The sequence below is a fragment of the Homo sapiens genome, chromosome 10, assembly GCF_000001405.40.
Source record: "Homo sapiens chromosome 10, GRCh38.p14 Primary Assembly".
Lineage (NCBI taxonomy): Eukaryota > Metazoa > Chordata > Mammalia > Primates > Hominidae > Homo > Homo sapiens.
Window position 1 is genome coordinate 73,354,424 of NC_000010.11, and position 14,835 is coordinate 73,369,258.

Below are 14,835 nucleotides of genomic sequence, written 5' to 3' on the forward strand. Positions count from 1 at the left end.
AAGGGAAACTCTGGAAGAATTCAGATCCTTCTCAGGAGAAAGGGAAAAAAATTATACGTGAACTGCTGTCTAGGGAAACTAAAACCACTGTTTCTTTCATCCTGTTAAATTTAGTATTCAAATTGCCGGGTATTTGAGACACACAGTAATGTGACTTGGAGATTAAGACTAACAATAAGGAACACTGAGGCGGAATGCCACTGCTACATAAAGCCAGGAGGTTTGGAGGTAGAGAATGAAGCAAAATTCCATTCCTCCTGCAGGTACTCCCAAACTAAGGATTTTTGTAAATTTCCAAAAGTAACTTTACCAAATCATATCCCTCTGTCACGGTGATCTGCACGAGTCTGCCTGCTGATGGCACTTGCTCCATATCACCAACTGGGAAAAGTCCCTCTGTTTTCTTTGGTCTCTGTAAACAGAATGAATCAACCTGTCCCCTCATGTACCACAGCTGCACAAGTACCCATATTCCATCATAACCAATACCAGGGAAAACCTAAGGAAATGCCATAGTCCAGCACTGTTTTATTCCCCATATCCAACCTTTGCTGTTGGACAGGCAGTGCTTTAGGGAGCTGGTCACAAGGATGATTTCACTGGTAGCGCTAAAGATGTTTATACAGGTAACTAACCCATTAAGCACAAAGTATCACAAGACAAAGTAGGAACACCTTGACCTCCCATACCCTACATCAGGGGTCCCCACCCCGAACCATGAACCAGTACCAGCCCGTGGCCTGTCAGGAACTGGGCTGTACAGCAGGAGGTAAGCAGCAGGCGAGCAAGCAAAGCTTCATCTCTATTTACAGCCACTCTGCATCACCTGCATTACCACCTAAGCTCTCTCTCCTGTCAGATCAGTGGCAGCATTATATTCTCACAGGAGTGCGAACCCTATTGTAACTGATGCATGCAAAGGATCTAGGTTGTGCACTCCTTATAAGAATCGAATGCCTGATTTGTCACTGTCTCCCATCACCCCCAGATAGGACTGTCTAGCTGCAGGAAAACAAGCTCAGGGCTCCCACTGATTCTACATTATGGTGAGTTGTATAATATTTCATTATATAGGCTAGGCACGGTGGCTCACGCCTGTAATCCCAACACTTTGGAAGGCGAGGCGGGCGGATCACCAAGTCAGGAGTTCGAGATCAGCCTGTCCAATACGGTGAAACCCCATCTCTACTAAAAAATTCAAAAATTAGCCAGGTGTGATGGCACATGCCTGTAAGTCCCAGCTACTTGGGAGGCTGAGGCAGGAGAATCGCTTGAACACGGCAGGCAGAGGTTGCAGTGAGCTGAGATCACACCACTGAACTCCAGCCTGGGCAAAAGAGTGACTCCGTCTCAAAACAAAAAAATTTCATTATATATTACCGTGTAATACTAATAGAAATAAAGTGCACAGTAAATGTAATGTGGTTGAATCATCCCCGCTGCCCCCAGTCTGTGGAAAAATTGTCTTCCACGAAACTGGTCCCTGGTGCCAAAAAGGTTGGGGACTGCTGCCATACACTGTTCACAGTGTTCTCTGGTAACCGTTTTTTTTAATCTGCAAAGCTCCCTTCAAACATTATTTAACTTCTCAGTTTTACAAAAATATATTTTGAGAGCAGGAAAGAAGCAGCCACACAAAATGGTAGTCCACTGGAAAAGGTCTTAATGTATTTCTTATTTAGTCAGATATACTGTCAATTTTACAATACTAAGGGCACAAACAATTTCGATAATAAATTGGATATTTGTTTTTTGGAAAAGGTCTTTTATCTCTCCTTCCTTCCTTTTTTTTTTTTTCAGGCTCTCATTCTGTCACCCAGGCTGGAGTGCAGTGGTGTGATCACAGCTCACTGCAGCTTCAACCTCCCAGGCTCAAGTGATTGTCCCACCTCAGCCTCCTGAGTAGCTGGGACTACAGGCATGCGCCACCACGCCCAGCTAATTTTTGTATTTTTTGTAGAGACAGGGTTTCACCATGCTGTCTAGGCTGGTCTCGACGGCTAGGCTCAAGCAATCCACTCACCTCAGCCTCCCAAAGTGCTGGGATTAAAAGGCATGAGCCACTGTGCCTGTTGAAAAGGCCTTATTTTCTAACTCAATTCAAACATTTACTGAGGACATACTATGCTAAGTGTACTTGGTGATACAAAAGAGAAAACAACATCTTACAGCCTTCAGACTTTATAATTATCCTGCCTCTTCTCAGCTACTCCAGCATTTTTCCAGTCACCTAAAAGTGTCAAATCATTTGTTCAACAACATATTTCTGGGCTCTTTAAGGGCTTTAGTGGCACTGACAACTTCTTTGTCAAATGTACATTTGAAATGCCCTTTTGTATCAGTCTTCTTTCCTTTTCAATAATATGGCATTAGGCCTTCATTACCCTTCTGCTAGACTGTAACAAAAGCCTCCTAACTGGTGTCTCTGACTCCAGTTTCTCACTCTAATTCATCCTGCTTTTGTCAGAATTGCTCATTGAAAAAACTTGTTAAGCTTGGCACTGTGATGGGTGCTGAGGATACAAGAGATAAGATGTGAACTCTCTAACCTCAAGAAATTTAAAATCTAGTGAGGACGAGAGACGTGTAACTAGACCAGGAGTCATAATCTGTGAGACAGGTGCTCTGACAGAGGAAAGAAGGGAGGAGTGAAACACACAGGGAGGAAAAGGGGGGTGGAAATTTATTTTTTCTTTTACAAATAAAAAGAATGAGAGAAGCAAGGAAATTAACTGATTATAGCCAGTGTGCCAAGTGTGCTTCGCATTTATTATCTTAAATGTAGCCTCCCTTCTAAGAGATTCTTAAATCTCTATTTGATTGAAAAAAATTGAGCTTCAGAGAAGTTTGTTATCTTACCAGCAGTCATACAGCAAGGAAGTGCTGAATGAAGCTGGGACCTAGCTGGATTTGAGAATACATATGCATGCCAGGAAAATCTTGGAGGAAGTACGCTGGAACTATGTCTTAATAAAGGGAAGGATATTCCAAGAAAGGGAACAGATTTTAAAACGTTCAGAGGCAAAACAACACACATAGCAAGTAGCAAGTAGCTTGCAGTGGTGGAGTAAGAAGAAATAGGGAGAAAATGAGAAGAGACAAGCAGATAAATACCTTATTAAAGTACAGATCTGATCGTATCACTGTCTTGTTCCCTCTCACCTACCAAATAAACTGTAACACTACAGTTTAACTGTAGTTAAATGTAGTACTACATTCAGGGCTTTCTAGGATCTTGCAGTGCCAGTCAACTCCCCTCTTCTAGCTTATGCTCTTGCTTAGTATTTTTCAAAGATTACCTGCATTTAGTCGCTTTTGAACCTTTGCATTTTTCCTTCCCCCTGGAATTATCTCTCCCTTTCTCCTCACTCCGTCTCTACAGCAAATCCTACTCATCCTTTAAAATCCAGCTCAAATGCTTCCTAGTCCATGAAGCTTCCCAGTCGGAAAAACTTGCCTTTCCTCTGAATTCATTTAGCACTTTACACGTCTTTTGTGGCATTACCACAAGCTGTCCTGTTTATGAAGACTGGGTATTCAAAAGACCTTTCCTACTTAACAACTATGTGCCCCTAGGCAAATGCCTAACTTCTCTAAGCCTCAGTTTCACCTTCTGTAAAATGGATAACTTCCAACCTGTTTCACATTTATTGTGAATATCCCCTAAGATATTAAAGCTTTTTAAGTATGAAGCACTGCACAAATGGTATTATTAATATGCAGCGTTTGTCCTGAGAGCTCATTTACACCCTTGAAGGCATGTAACCTGTCTCACGCATATTTACGGGCCCAGAGTGCCTGGCACCATGTCTTGTACACAACAGGCGTTCGCGTCGTGTTTGAATTATGAATGCAAGATATAGGACTAAAGTTATAGTCAGGGCAGCTAGGGTGGGGACTCTTGTTGCCCCCGGCAAGGCACGCATTTCTTGTCATCTGCTCGGAAGAAGCTGCAAGGGGAGAGTCCAGTGAGAAAAAGGTTAGACGAAGGAGGCGATGTGACTGAGTCTGGTCTGGGGACAAGCGCAGTCAGCGCAGAATGAGGAGGCCTCCGACGAGAAGCGGTAAAGGAAGGTCTACGTCCGCGCTCCTGTGGAGGTCGCCGGGCTGGGGTTGGCGGCAGAGTCCGCACCTGGCCGGGCCAGCGGCTTTTCGGTCTAAATATCGGGGTTTTCAGCCTGGCCTTAGCTAAGGGAGCAGAAGATCGGGGTGACGGCTGTGGTGTGGCCGCAGGGCTGAGGTGGGGAGGCCGGGAAGAGAGAGTTTCTTCAGGAGGGATCACTGTCTTACCTGCAGCAGCCTCAGTTATGTTTTTGACAACTATAGCAACCAACTACCTCTCGCGAGAACTTACTTTTGGCCATCGCACGAGCAAGTTTATTCCAAGACTCGCGATAACCCTCTGGGGCCGGGAGCAGGGAGCGAGACGCTGAGCTTCTGCGCCTGCGCCCTAGCGCCGGCTGCAGCCTCCTCACTTCGAGAGCCTGCTGTTTCCGCGGATGCTTTACCTTGCCAAGAGTTGGGTTTAAGTGCATAGGTTTCCACCTTTACATTTTGCTTTCTCGACTCTTTGATTTCAATATTTCTCTATAATAGGAGGGAAAAAAGCAAAAGGAAGTTTAAAGAAAAAGGCCTTTATTAAACTGATTTGAAAACATCATTTAAATATTTCTCCGTGAAATATGCAATATTTTTTAAATGAGCCCGTCACGCCCTGTTGATGAGAGTGCAAAATGACCCTGCTTCTAGGTGCTCAATATTTGTACAATAAACAGACCTGAAGTTTATGATGTTAATACAAATTTTTAATATTCAAAATTTAACATTAAAGAGCTAGAATAGCAAAACACAATAGCAATAACCTGGAAACAACCCAAGTGCCCGTCGAAGGAATAGTGGATGAGTGGACCAATAAACTGTGGCATATTCACAAAATGGCATATTACAAGCAGTCAAAGTTAATGAACTGCAGCCATACACACAACACGGATGAATTTTAGCAGTATATATACTTTAAATTGTTGCAGTGTTAAGAGCCAGCTTGAAGGGACTCCCATGGGCCAAATAAGGGACAATTTGAGCATGAAGTAAACAACGACGATAACGGATTACAACCCATTGAATAAAATAGGAATATGCAAGTCCGTGTTGATACAGAGAAAAAGGAAAACTCTTTCAAAGTAGGATGCCAACCCAGAAGTGTAGCGAGAAGGATGGAAATAGAGAACTACCATTTGACAACTACTGAGGAGGATGACTCAGGCAGGAGTCTTCAATGGACGCTAAGGCTGGTGGGTAGATGTTCTATGAGGCATAGAATACTGGCGTGATTTTGGAATGCTTCCATGGAATACTACTTGATTACAGAGGGGGAAACAGTGAATGGACGCAACCAACATGATCAGGTGATCATGGTTAACATCACCAGTGTTGGGAGGAGTCTACATTGTGAGCCTCCTGGTGAAACACACTAAAAAAAAACACACACACACACACAAAGCATCCTTTTTGGTTTTCCTACCATGAAAGGAACTCAGGTTGTAGACCATCCAAGGACAAGAAAGACTGGGAACTGTCTCTGACTGAGGTTATATGACAACTAAATTCAATATGTATCTCTGTATAGCATTCTGGACCAGAAAGGAAAACAACATTGTTAGGACGGTGGGAAAAATGTGAATTAGCTCTGTGAATCGCATACCACCCCGAACATGCCCAATCTCATCTGAATTGGATGGTAGTGTTGTACCAATATTGATTTCCTGATGTGGAAGTTTGTTTGTTGTTAGGTAGGAGAGTGTCCCTGTTTAGGGGAAAATAAACACTAGTGTGTTTAGGAGTGATGAGACACCATCTCTTCAATTTGCTCTCTTGACTTTCAAAAGGTCCAGAAAAAGACTAACAAGGGATACATACACATGTACACACACATATGCACATGCATGCACACCTGCACACATACACACACAGTGAGCAATGGAACAAGTGCAATAAAGTGTTAACTATTTGGGAATCTGAGTGCAGGGGACATGGGACTTCCTTACACGATTTGGGCAACTTTTCTATACATTCGAGATCATTTCAAAACAATTAAAATATATACACACGCATAACCACTCTCCCTGGGAAGCCCTTTGCTTAGGAAATAGTTACCAGAGTCAAATTTTAAAATTTTTATTTATATGAATAAAGAAACATTATAAATATTGAGAAATATTTTTTGAAAGTTGCAGTGTTACAGGTAATAAAGGTTCTCAAAATAAAACTACTGTGGCACTACTGAGTAAGGATTTCTCTCTGGATTTTTTTTCCCAAGTGAGAGTTTTGGGTGAATTTGCACTGAGACAGCTATCCCACTTGCAAATGACAGACTCTTTCTACATAATAAGCTGGGTTAGGCCAAGTCTTTAATAGGGAGCTGTTCTTCCAGAAATCGCTCATGATCTTGGTCTACTTAGTACTTTGCTTCAAGGTCTTAGGCAAGCAAGGATAAATAACAGATGTCACCTCCTTAAACATAATTAATCTCCATTCAACTTTAGGGTACCTGAGAGCAAGGGCTGTATGTTACAATTTTCTTTTTTTTTTTTTTTAAGATGGAGTCTCACTCTGTAGCCCAGGCTGGAGTGCCGTGGCGCAATCTGGGTTCACTGCAACCTCCACCTCCTGTGGTCAAGTGATTCTTGTGCCTCAGCCACTGGAGTAGATGTGATTACAGGCACCCATCACCACGCCCGGCTAATTTTTGTATTTTTAGTAGAGACAGGGCCATGTTGGCCAGGCTGGTCTTGAACTCCTAACCTCAGGTGATCCACCTGTCTCAGCCGCCTAAAGTGCTGGGATTACAGGCATGAACCACCATGCCCGGCCTTTTTTTTTTTTTTTTTTTCTTTATTGAGACAGTCTTGCTCTGGAGTTCAGTGGCATGATATGATCTCGGCTCACTGCAACCTCTGCCTCCCGGGTTCAAGTGACCCTCCCACCTCAGCCTCCCGTGTGTGTGTGTGTTACAGTTCTTTTATTCTCCTACAGTGCTTAGCAGTGGCCACTCTGTTTGAAAGGCATTCTTTTTGACTGATTTAAAACATCCACTTGTGTATGGAAAAAGCCCTCTTTAGTGGTATGGAAAATATAATAGTACTGGAATCATAATAAAATCATCTACATATGCAAACCAATTTCAGGGAAAAAAACTATAAAAATATCTTTCTAATAAAATTTGAATGCCTTAGTCTGAGTTTCAAAGGCCTCCATTAAATGATGCACTAGCTCAACAAATTCCTTTCTCATTACTCCAAAAGACTTGTTTCTAATTAGCTAATTTGTTACTTCCAAAGTCAACATATTTCTGACAATAATACAATCAAATGTATTGCTCATCCCCAAATTGATCTACAGATTGAAAGCAATCACTATGAAAACCCCAACTGTTTTTTTTTTCTTTCAGAAATTAACAAGCTGATCTTAAAATTCATATGGAAATGCAAGGGACCCAGAGTAGCCAAAACAATCCTGAAACAGAAGAACAGTTGGAAAACTCACACTTCCCAATTTCAAAACTTTCTACAAAGCTGCAGTAATCAAGTAACGAAGACAGTAATAAAGACATAAAGATAGCCATATAGATCAAAATAATCAATTGAATTGAGAGTTCAGAAATAAACTCTTACATTTACGGTCAACTGATTTTTAACAAGAGTGCCAAGATGATCTACTGGGATGTGGGAGGGAGGGGGTAATATAGTCTTTTAAACAAATGGTACAAGGAAAAACAATGTCCACATGCAAAGAATGAAGTTGGACCCTTACCTCACACCATATACAAAAAATAACTCAAAATGGACCAAAGACCTAAATGTAAGAACTAAAACTATAAATTTGAGGGTTTTCTATTTCTGTGAAGAATGTCATTGCAATATTGATAGAGATTGTGTTGAATCTGTGGAGCACTTTGGGAAGTATGAACATTTTAATAATGTTAATTATTCTAATCCATGAACATAGGATACTATTTGTGTCTTCAGTTTCTTTCATCAATGTTTTGTAGTTTTCATTGTAGAGATCTTTTGCCTACTTGGTTAAAACTTCCTAGGGTTTTTGTTTTGTTTTTTGTAGCAATTGTGAATGGGATTGCTGTTTTCTTTTTCAGATAGTTCACTATTGGCATATAGAAATGCTACTGATTTTTGTATGTTGCTTTTGTATCCTGCAACTTTACTGAATTTATTACTTCTAGCAGTTTTTTGGTGGAATCTTTAGGGTTTTGTGTGTATAAATTCATGTCATCTGCAGACAGGAAGTTTGACTTCTTTCTTTCCAATTTAGATGCCCTTTGTTTCTTTCTCTTGCATAATTACTGTGGCTAGGACTTCCAGTACTATGTTGACTAGAAGTAGTGAAAGTGGCTATCCTTGTCTTGTTCCAGATTTTAGAGAAAAAGCTTTCAACGTGTCCTCATTCAGTATGTTAGCTGTGTGTCTGTCATACATGGTCTTTATTTACAAACTATGCATCTGACAAGGGGTTAATGTCCAGAGTATATAAGAAACTCAACACCAAAAAAAAAAAAAAAATCCAAAAAAAAAACCCCACAAATAATCTGATTTTAAAATGGACAAAAGATCTAAATAGACATTTCTTGAAAGTATACAAATGGCCAACAGATATATGAAAAAATGCTCAACATCACTAAATGTGATGGAAATGCAAATAGTGTATCTACACAAACCTAGATAGCGTAGCCTGCCACATACCTAAGTCATATAGAGTATATCCTATTGCTTCTAGGCAACAAACAGGTATGGCATGTTATCATACCGAATACTGTAGGCAATTGTAACACAATGGTAAGTACTTGTGTATCTAAACATAGAAAAAGTACAGTAAAAATATGGCATAAAAGATAAATAGTACACCTGTAGAAGGCACTCACAATGAATGGCACTTGCTGGCCTAGAAGTTGCTCTGGGTGAGTGAAGGAATGAGTAGTGAGTGAATTGTGAAGGCCTAGGACATTACTGTATACTACTGCAGACTTAACAAACACTATATAATTAGGCTACACTAAATTTATTTTAAAACTTTTTAATAATAAATTTAATTTAGCTTACTGTAACGTTTTTGCTTCCTAAACATTTTTTTTTCCCTTGGAGACACGGTCTCATTCTGTCACCCATGCTGGAGTGCAGTGGCATGATCATGGCTCACTGCATTCTCAGTCTCCTTGGGCTCAAGCAAACCTCCTGCCTTTTTGTATTTTTTGTAGAGATGGGGTTTCACCATGTTGCTCAGGCTGGTCTTGAATTCTTGGGCTCAAGTGATGCACCTGCCTCGGCCTCCCTAAGTGCTGAGACTACACGCGTGAGCCACTGCACTCAGCCTAAACTTCTTAACTTTTTGACTCTTACAGCTATACAAAAATATTTTCTGTATGTCCTTATAAGCTTTTTATTAAAAAATTATTTTTTACAGGCCTTCTACAGGTGTACTCATGCCTGTAATCCCAGAACTTTGGGAGGCTGAAGTGGGTGGATCACAAGGTCAGGAGATCAAGACCATCTGGCTAACATGGTGAAACCCCGTCTCTACTAAAAATACAAAAAATTAGCCAGGTGTGGTGGCGGGCACCTGTAGCCCCAGCTACTAGGGAGGCTGAGGCAGGAGAATGGCGTGAACCTGGGAGGAGGAGCTTGCAGTGAGCGGAGATCACGCCGCTGCACTCTAGCCTGGGTGACAGAGCAAGACTCTGTCTCAAAAAATAAATAAATAAATAAATAAATAAAATAAATTATTTACTTTTTACCTTTTTTTGTTAAAAACTAAGACACAGGTCAGGTGTGGTGGCTCTGGCCTGCAATCCCAGCACTTTGGGAGGCTGAGGTAAGAGGACTGCTTGAGTCCAGGAGTTACCAGCCTGGGGTAACATGGTGAGACCATGTCTCTTCAAAAATCTTAAAAATTAGCATGGTGTGGTGGCAAAAGCCTGTAGTCCCAGCTACTTGGGACGCTGAGGCAGGAGGATTGCTTGAGGCCAGGAGTTCAAGGCTGCAGTGAGCAATGATTCCACCACTGCACTCCAACCTGGGTGACAGAGCAAGACCCTGCCTCCAAAACTAAAAAAAACAAAGGCACAAACACACACATTAGCCTAAGTCTACACAGGCTCAGGATAATCAACATGACTATCTTCCACCTGCACATCTCATCCCACTGGAAGGTCTTCAGGGGCATAACACACATGGAGCTGTCATCTCCTATAACAATGCCTTCTGGAATACCTTCTGAAGGTCCTATCTTAGGCTTTTTATAGTTAACTTCTTTTCAATAAGTAGATGGAGTATAAAATAATGATAAAAAAATCTAGCATTAGTAAGTACTAAGTGATAGGAATTTTTCAGCTGTGTTATAATCTTATGGAACTACTGTCATATATGTAGTCTGTTGTTGACTGAACCTTCATCATGCAGTGCATTGTTGGTGAGAATGTAAATTGGTACAGCCACTGTGGAAAATAGTAGATGGTTCCTAAAAAAATTAAAAACAGAACTACCATATGATCTAACAATCCCATATATCCAAAGGATATATCAGTATGTCAAAAAGATGTCTGCACACCCATGTTTATTGCAGCACTATTCACGATGGCCAGAATATGGAATCAACCTAAGTGTCCGTCAACAGATGAATGAATATGTGGTAAATTTACACAATGGAATACTATTCAGCCATAAAAAAGAATGAAATCCTCTCATTTGGAACAACTTGAATGAGCCTAGAGGTCATTATGTTATGTGAAATAAGCCAGGCACAGAAAGACAAATACTGCATGATCCTATTCATATGTGGAATCCTAAATTTTTTTTTTTTTTTGAGGCAGTCTCGCTCTGTCATCCAGGCTGGAGTGCAGTGGCAAGGTCTTGGCTCACTGCAACCTTCACCTTCCGGGTTCAAGCAATCCTCATGCCTCAGCCTCCTGAGTAGCTGGGATTACAGGCGCGAGCCATCACACCCGGCTAATTTTTGTGTTTTTAGTAGAGATGGGGTTTCACCATGTTAGCCAGGCTGGTTTCTAACTCCTGTCTTCAAGTGATCCACCCACGTCGGCCTCCTGAAGTGCTGGGATGGATTACAGATGTGAGCCACTGCACCTGGCCTTAAATGTTGATCTAATAGAAGTAGAGAATAAATAGTGGTTACCAGAGGCTGGGAAGAGGAGGGAAGAGGGAGGACAGGGAGAGGCCAGTCAATGGATACAAAGTTACAGTTAGATAGGAAGAATAAGTTCTGGTGTTCCATTGCTCTGAATGGTGATTATGGTTCATGGTAATATACTGCATATTTCAAAATAGCTAGAAGAGAGGATTTTGAATCTTCTCATCACATAAAAAGATGTCTGAGATGATGGATATGTTAATTACCCTAATTTATTACATATTGTGTATATGTATCACAACATTACACTGTCCCCGTAAATATGTACAACTGTATCAATTAAAATGTTTTAAGTCTTTTTTTTTTTTTTTTTTTCTGAGATGGAGTCTCGCTCTGTCACCCAGGCTGGAGTGCAGTGGCGCGATCTCAGCTCACTGCAAGATCCACCTCCTGGGTTCACGCCATTCTCCTGTCTCAGCCTCCCGAGTAGCTGGGAGTACAGGCGCGTGCCACCATGCCCAGCTAATTTTTTGTATTTTTAGTAGAGATGGGGTTTCACTGTGTTAGCCAGGATGGTCTCGATCTCCTGACCTCGTGATCTGCCTGCCTCAGCCTCCCAAAGTGCTGGGATTACAGGCGTGAGCCACCATGCCCAGCCAAAATGTTTTAAGTCTTGAAGAAAAAATAATTTAAAAATTTTGTACATCAAAAGACACCATCAAGAAAACAAAAGCCAACCTATGAAATGGGAGAAAGTATTTTGTGAATTGTGTATCAGGTAAGAGTCTACTATCCAAAATATATAAACAACTTTTACAACTCAACAGAAATACAAATTACCCAAATTAAAAATGGGCAAAGTATTCGAACACATATTTTTTAAAGAAGATATGCAAATAATCAATAAGCACAAAAAATAGGCTCATTAGTCACAAGGGAAATGAAATGAAAACCACAATCAGATGCCACTTCATATCCACCAGCATGGCTATAGTGAAAAACACAGACAATGACAGTAAGTGTTGGCGAGGATGAGAAAAATTATCAACCAGGTTTGTTCTGCCCGTGCTGGGTAAACCAATCACTGTGATGGCACATTTTGCAAAAGAGAAAAGATTTATCCACAAGGCAGCCCAGCAAGGGGGCAGGTAAATAGCTCTCATATCTGCCTCCCGAAAATAAGGCATAGAGATGTTTATGGGTTAGAGAAGCAGGGTGGTCTAAGGCATGGGGAAAGGTGATTGGCAGTGGGGGAAAATGAATCATCCACTGATCTGCGCAAGTGTAGTCAGGATTCATGGCACTTCATAGGATGACTGTTCAGAAAATGGTGACATTAGCATCATTTGAGGGTGGAGTGTTTAGCCTGTGATGTCAAAAGGCTACCTCTTGGGCATTTGCTCAGGCCTGGTTGAAGGGTCAGTGGTCACAACCAGTTTGAACAGGAGAGGAGCTGCCCCAAGTTCCTGAAAACCAACTTAAGTGACCGTTACCATGGTGACATATGTTATCTATAGATTATACAGGAAGCCAGCAAAGGTTAAATGCTGTGGTCTTCAGCTACATAGAAAAAAACAAAATGCAAATGACCAAATTGCAGGGCAGGCTGTTTTGTGGATCTAATCAGATTAACCCCCCAGTTTCAAAACTTTATTGCTGATGGGATTATAATATTGTACAGCCACCTGAGTAAACAGTTTGGCAGATCCTCAAAAAGTTAAACATAGGCCAAGTGCGGTGGCCCACGCTTGTAATCCTAGCACTTTGGGAGGCCAAGGTGGGTGGATTGCCTCAGCTCAGGAGTTCGAGACCAGCCTGGGCAACACAGTGAAACCCCCATCTCTACTAAAATACAAAAAAAAAAAAAAAAATTAGCCAGGTGTGGCGGCGTGTGCCTGTAATCCCAGGTACTTGGGAGGCTGAGGCAGGAGAACTGCTTGAACCTGGGAGATGGAGGTTGCAGTGAGCCAAGATGGCGCCACTACACTCCAGCTTGGGAGACAGAGTGAGACTCCGTCTCTTAAAAAAAAAGTTAAACATAGATATACCATACGATCCAGCAATTCTTTTCATTTGAGACAGAGTTGTCCCACTGTGTTGGCCAGGCCGGTCTTGAACTGTTGACCTTGTGTTTCACCTGCCTAGGCCTCCCAAAGTGCTGGGATTACAGATGTGAGCCCCTGTGCCCGGCCTAATTTTTGTATTTTTAATAGAGACGGGGTTTCACCATGTTGGCCAGGCTGGTCTTGAACTCCTGACCTCAGGTGATGATTCAGCAATTCTACTCCTAGGTGTATAGCCAAGATAGTTGGGAACAAAGGTCCACACAAAAACTTAAACATGAATGTTCACAGTAGCATTATTCATAATAGCCAAAAGGTGAAAACCATCCAGATGCCCATCAACTGATGAATGAATTTTTAAAAATGTGATATAAATGGCCAGGTGTGGTGACTTATGCCTATAATCCCAGCACTTTGGGAGGCCAAGGCAGGCAGATCACTTGAGACCAGGAGTTCGAGACCAGCCTGGCCAACATGGTGAAACCCCATCTCTACTAAAAATACAAAAGATTAGCCAGGCGTGGTGGCACGTACCTGTAACCCCACCTACTCAGGAGGCTGAGGCAGGGGAATTGCTTGAACCCGGGAGGCAGAGGTTTCAGTGAGCCAAGATTGTGCCACTGCACCCCAGCCTGAGCAACATAGCAAGACTCTGTCTGAAGAAAAAAAAGCAATATAACTATACAATGGACTATTCAGCCACAGAACAGAATGAAGTACTGATTCATGCTATACCACAGATGAACCTTAGAAACAGTATGCTAAATGAAAGAAGTCAGACACAAAGGGCTACACATTGTATGATTCCAGTCATTTGGAAAGTCCAGAATAGACAAATCCCATAGAGACAGAAACTAGATTAGTGGTTGCCAGGGGCTGGGTAGGAGGGTGAGGAATGAGCAATGACTACTGATTGGGTACGGGGTTTCTTTTTTGGGGTGATGAGAATGTTCGATAATTGATTGTGGTGACGGTCGCACAAATTTGTGAGTATGGTGAGAACCATTGAATTGTACACATTATTTTTGAGAGACGGGGTCTCACTTTGTCACCTAGGCTGGAGTGTAATGGCACAATCATAGCTCACTGTCACCTCGAACTCCTGTGCTCAAATGATCCATCCTCCTGCCTTGGCCTCCCAAGCAGCTAGAACCACAGGTATGCACCACCACACACAGCTAATTTTTTAAATTATTTTCTTGTAGCAACGGGGTCTTGCCATCTTGCCCAGGTTGGTCTCAAATTCCTGGGCTCAAGCAATCCTCCCGCTTTGGCTTCCCAAAGTGCTGGGATTATGCACAGCTGAATTGTACACTTTAAAAGGGTGAATTGTATATATGAATTATAGCTCGTATTTTTAAAAGTTTAAAAATATGTTGCTTGGGAAAGGACTCTGGGAAGATGGCAGACAGAGTAGGAAGCACCAGAAATCTGCCTCCCCACCCAGGCTGTCTGAGGTAACTATTTTGGAATTCTGGAGTCTATTGAAGGTTTGCAACTTCCAGAGGAAAACTTGGATGGCAATTTGGACTTTTTCAATTTTCGCTCTTAGCACAGTAGTAGCTACCCATCCTGTGGGAGGCGAGTGTGCATTTGTTCCTGTAGGAGCCTGCACATAGCC

At 41.9% G+C, this 14,835-nt stretch overlaps 1 protein-coding gene across 21 annotated transcripts in view, besides 4 other annotated features; it reads right to left on the reverse strand.

Annotated features, from left to right (window-relative positions):
* CFAP70 (cilia and flagella associated protein 70) overlaps positions 1-8,556 on the reverse strand; it is a 109,218-nt gene extending 100,662 nt beyond the window's left edge. For 12 of the 21 annotated variants that reach the window (XM_017015627.2, XM_017015621.2, XM_017015624.2 and 9 more), the window contains exons 1-3: positions 5,232-8,556; positions 4,509-4,587; positions 311-412 (exon numbers count right to left, since the gene is read on the reverse strand). In XM_017015627.2, the coding sequence (XP_016871116.1) occupies positions 311-412; positions 4,509-4,535 (129 nt within the window). In that variant the 5' untranslated portion in view covers positions 4,536-4,587; positions 5,232-8,556. Of the gene's footprint in view, positions 1-310; positions 413-2,169; positions 4,323-4,354; positions 4,588-5,231 lie in introns of those variants that run through there. The other 9 variants (NM_001350933.2, XM_006717605.3, XM_047424551.1 and 6 more) reach the window with 8 other exon arrangements.
* Positions 3,584-4,109: an enhancer, noted in NCBI's record as "H3K27ac hESC enhancer chr10:75117765-75118290 (GRCh37/hg19 assembly coordinates)". NCBI's record gives its function as "activates a minimal SCP1, AML or CMV promoter by ChIP-STARR-seq in primed H9 embryonic stem cells {active_cell/tissue: H9 hESC(primed)}" and the evidence as "EXISTENCE:reporter gene assay evidence [ECO:0000049][PMID:30033119]".
* Positions 4,046-4,265: an enhancer, noted in NCBI's record as "active region_3560". NCBI's record gives its function as "activates an Ori minimal core promoter by ATAC-STARR-seq in GM12878 lymphoblastoid cells {active_cell/tissue: GM12878}" and the evidence as "EXISTENCE:reporter gene assay evidence [ECO:0000049][PMID:35858748]".
* Positions 4,046-4,635: a biological region, named in NCBI's record as "H3K27ac hESC enhancer GRCh37_chr10:75118291-75118816".
* Positions 4,110-4,635: an enhancer, noted in NCBI's record as "H3K27ac hESC enhancer chr10:75118291-75118816 (GRCh37/hg19 assembly coordinates)". NCBI's record gives its function as "activates a minimal SCP1, AML or CMV promoter by ChIP-STARR-seq in primed H9 embryonic stem cells {active_cell/tissue: H9 hESC(primed)}" and the evidence as "EXISTENCE:reporter gene assay evidence [ECO:0000049][PMID:30033119]".
* Positions 8,557-14,835: the final 6,279 nt, after the last annotated feature.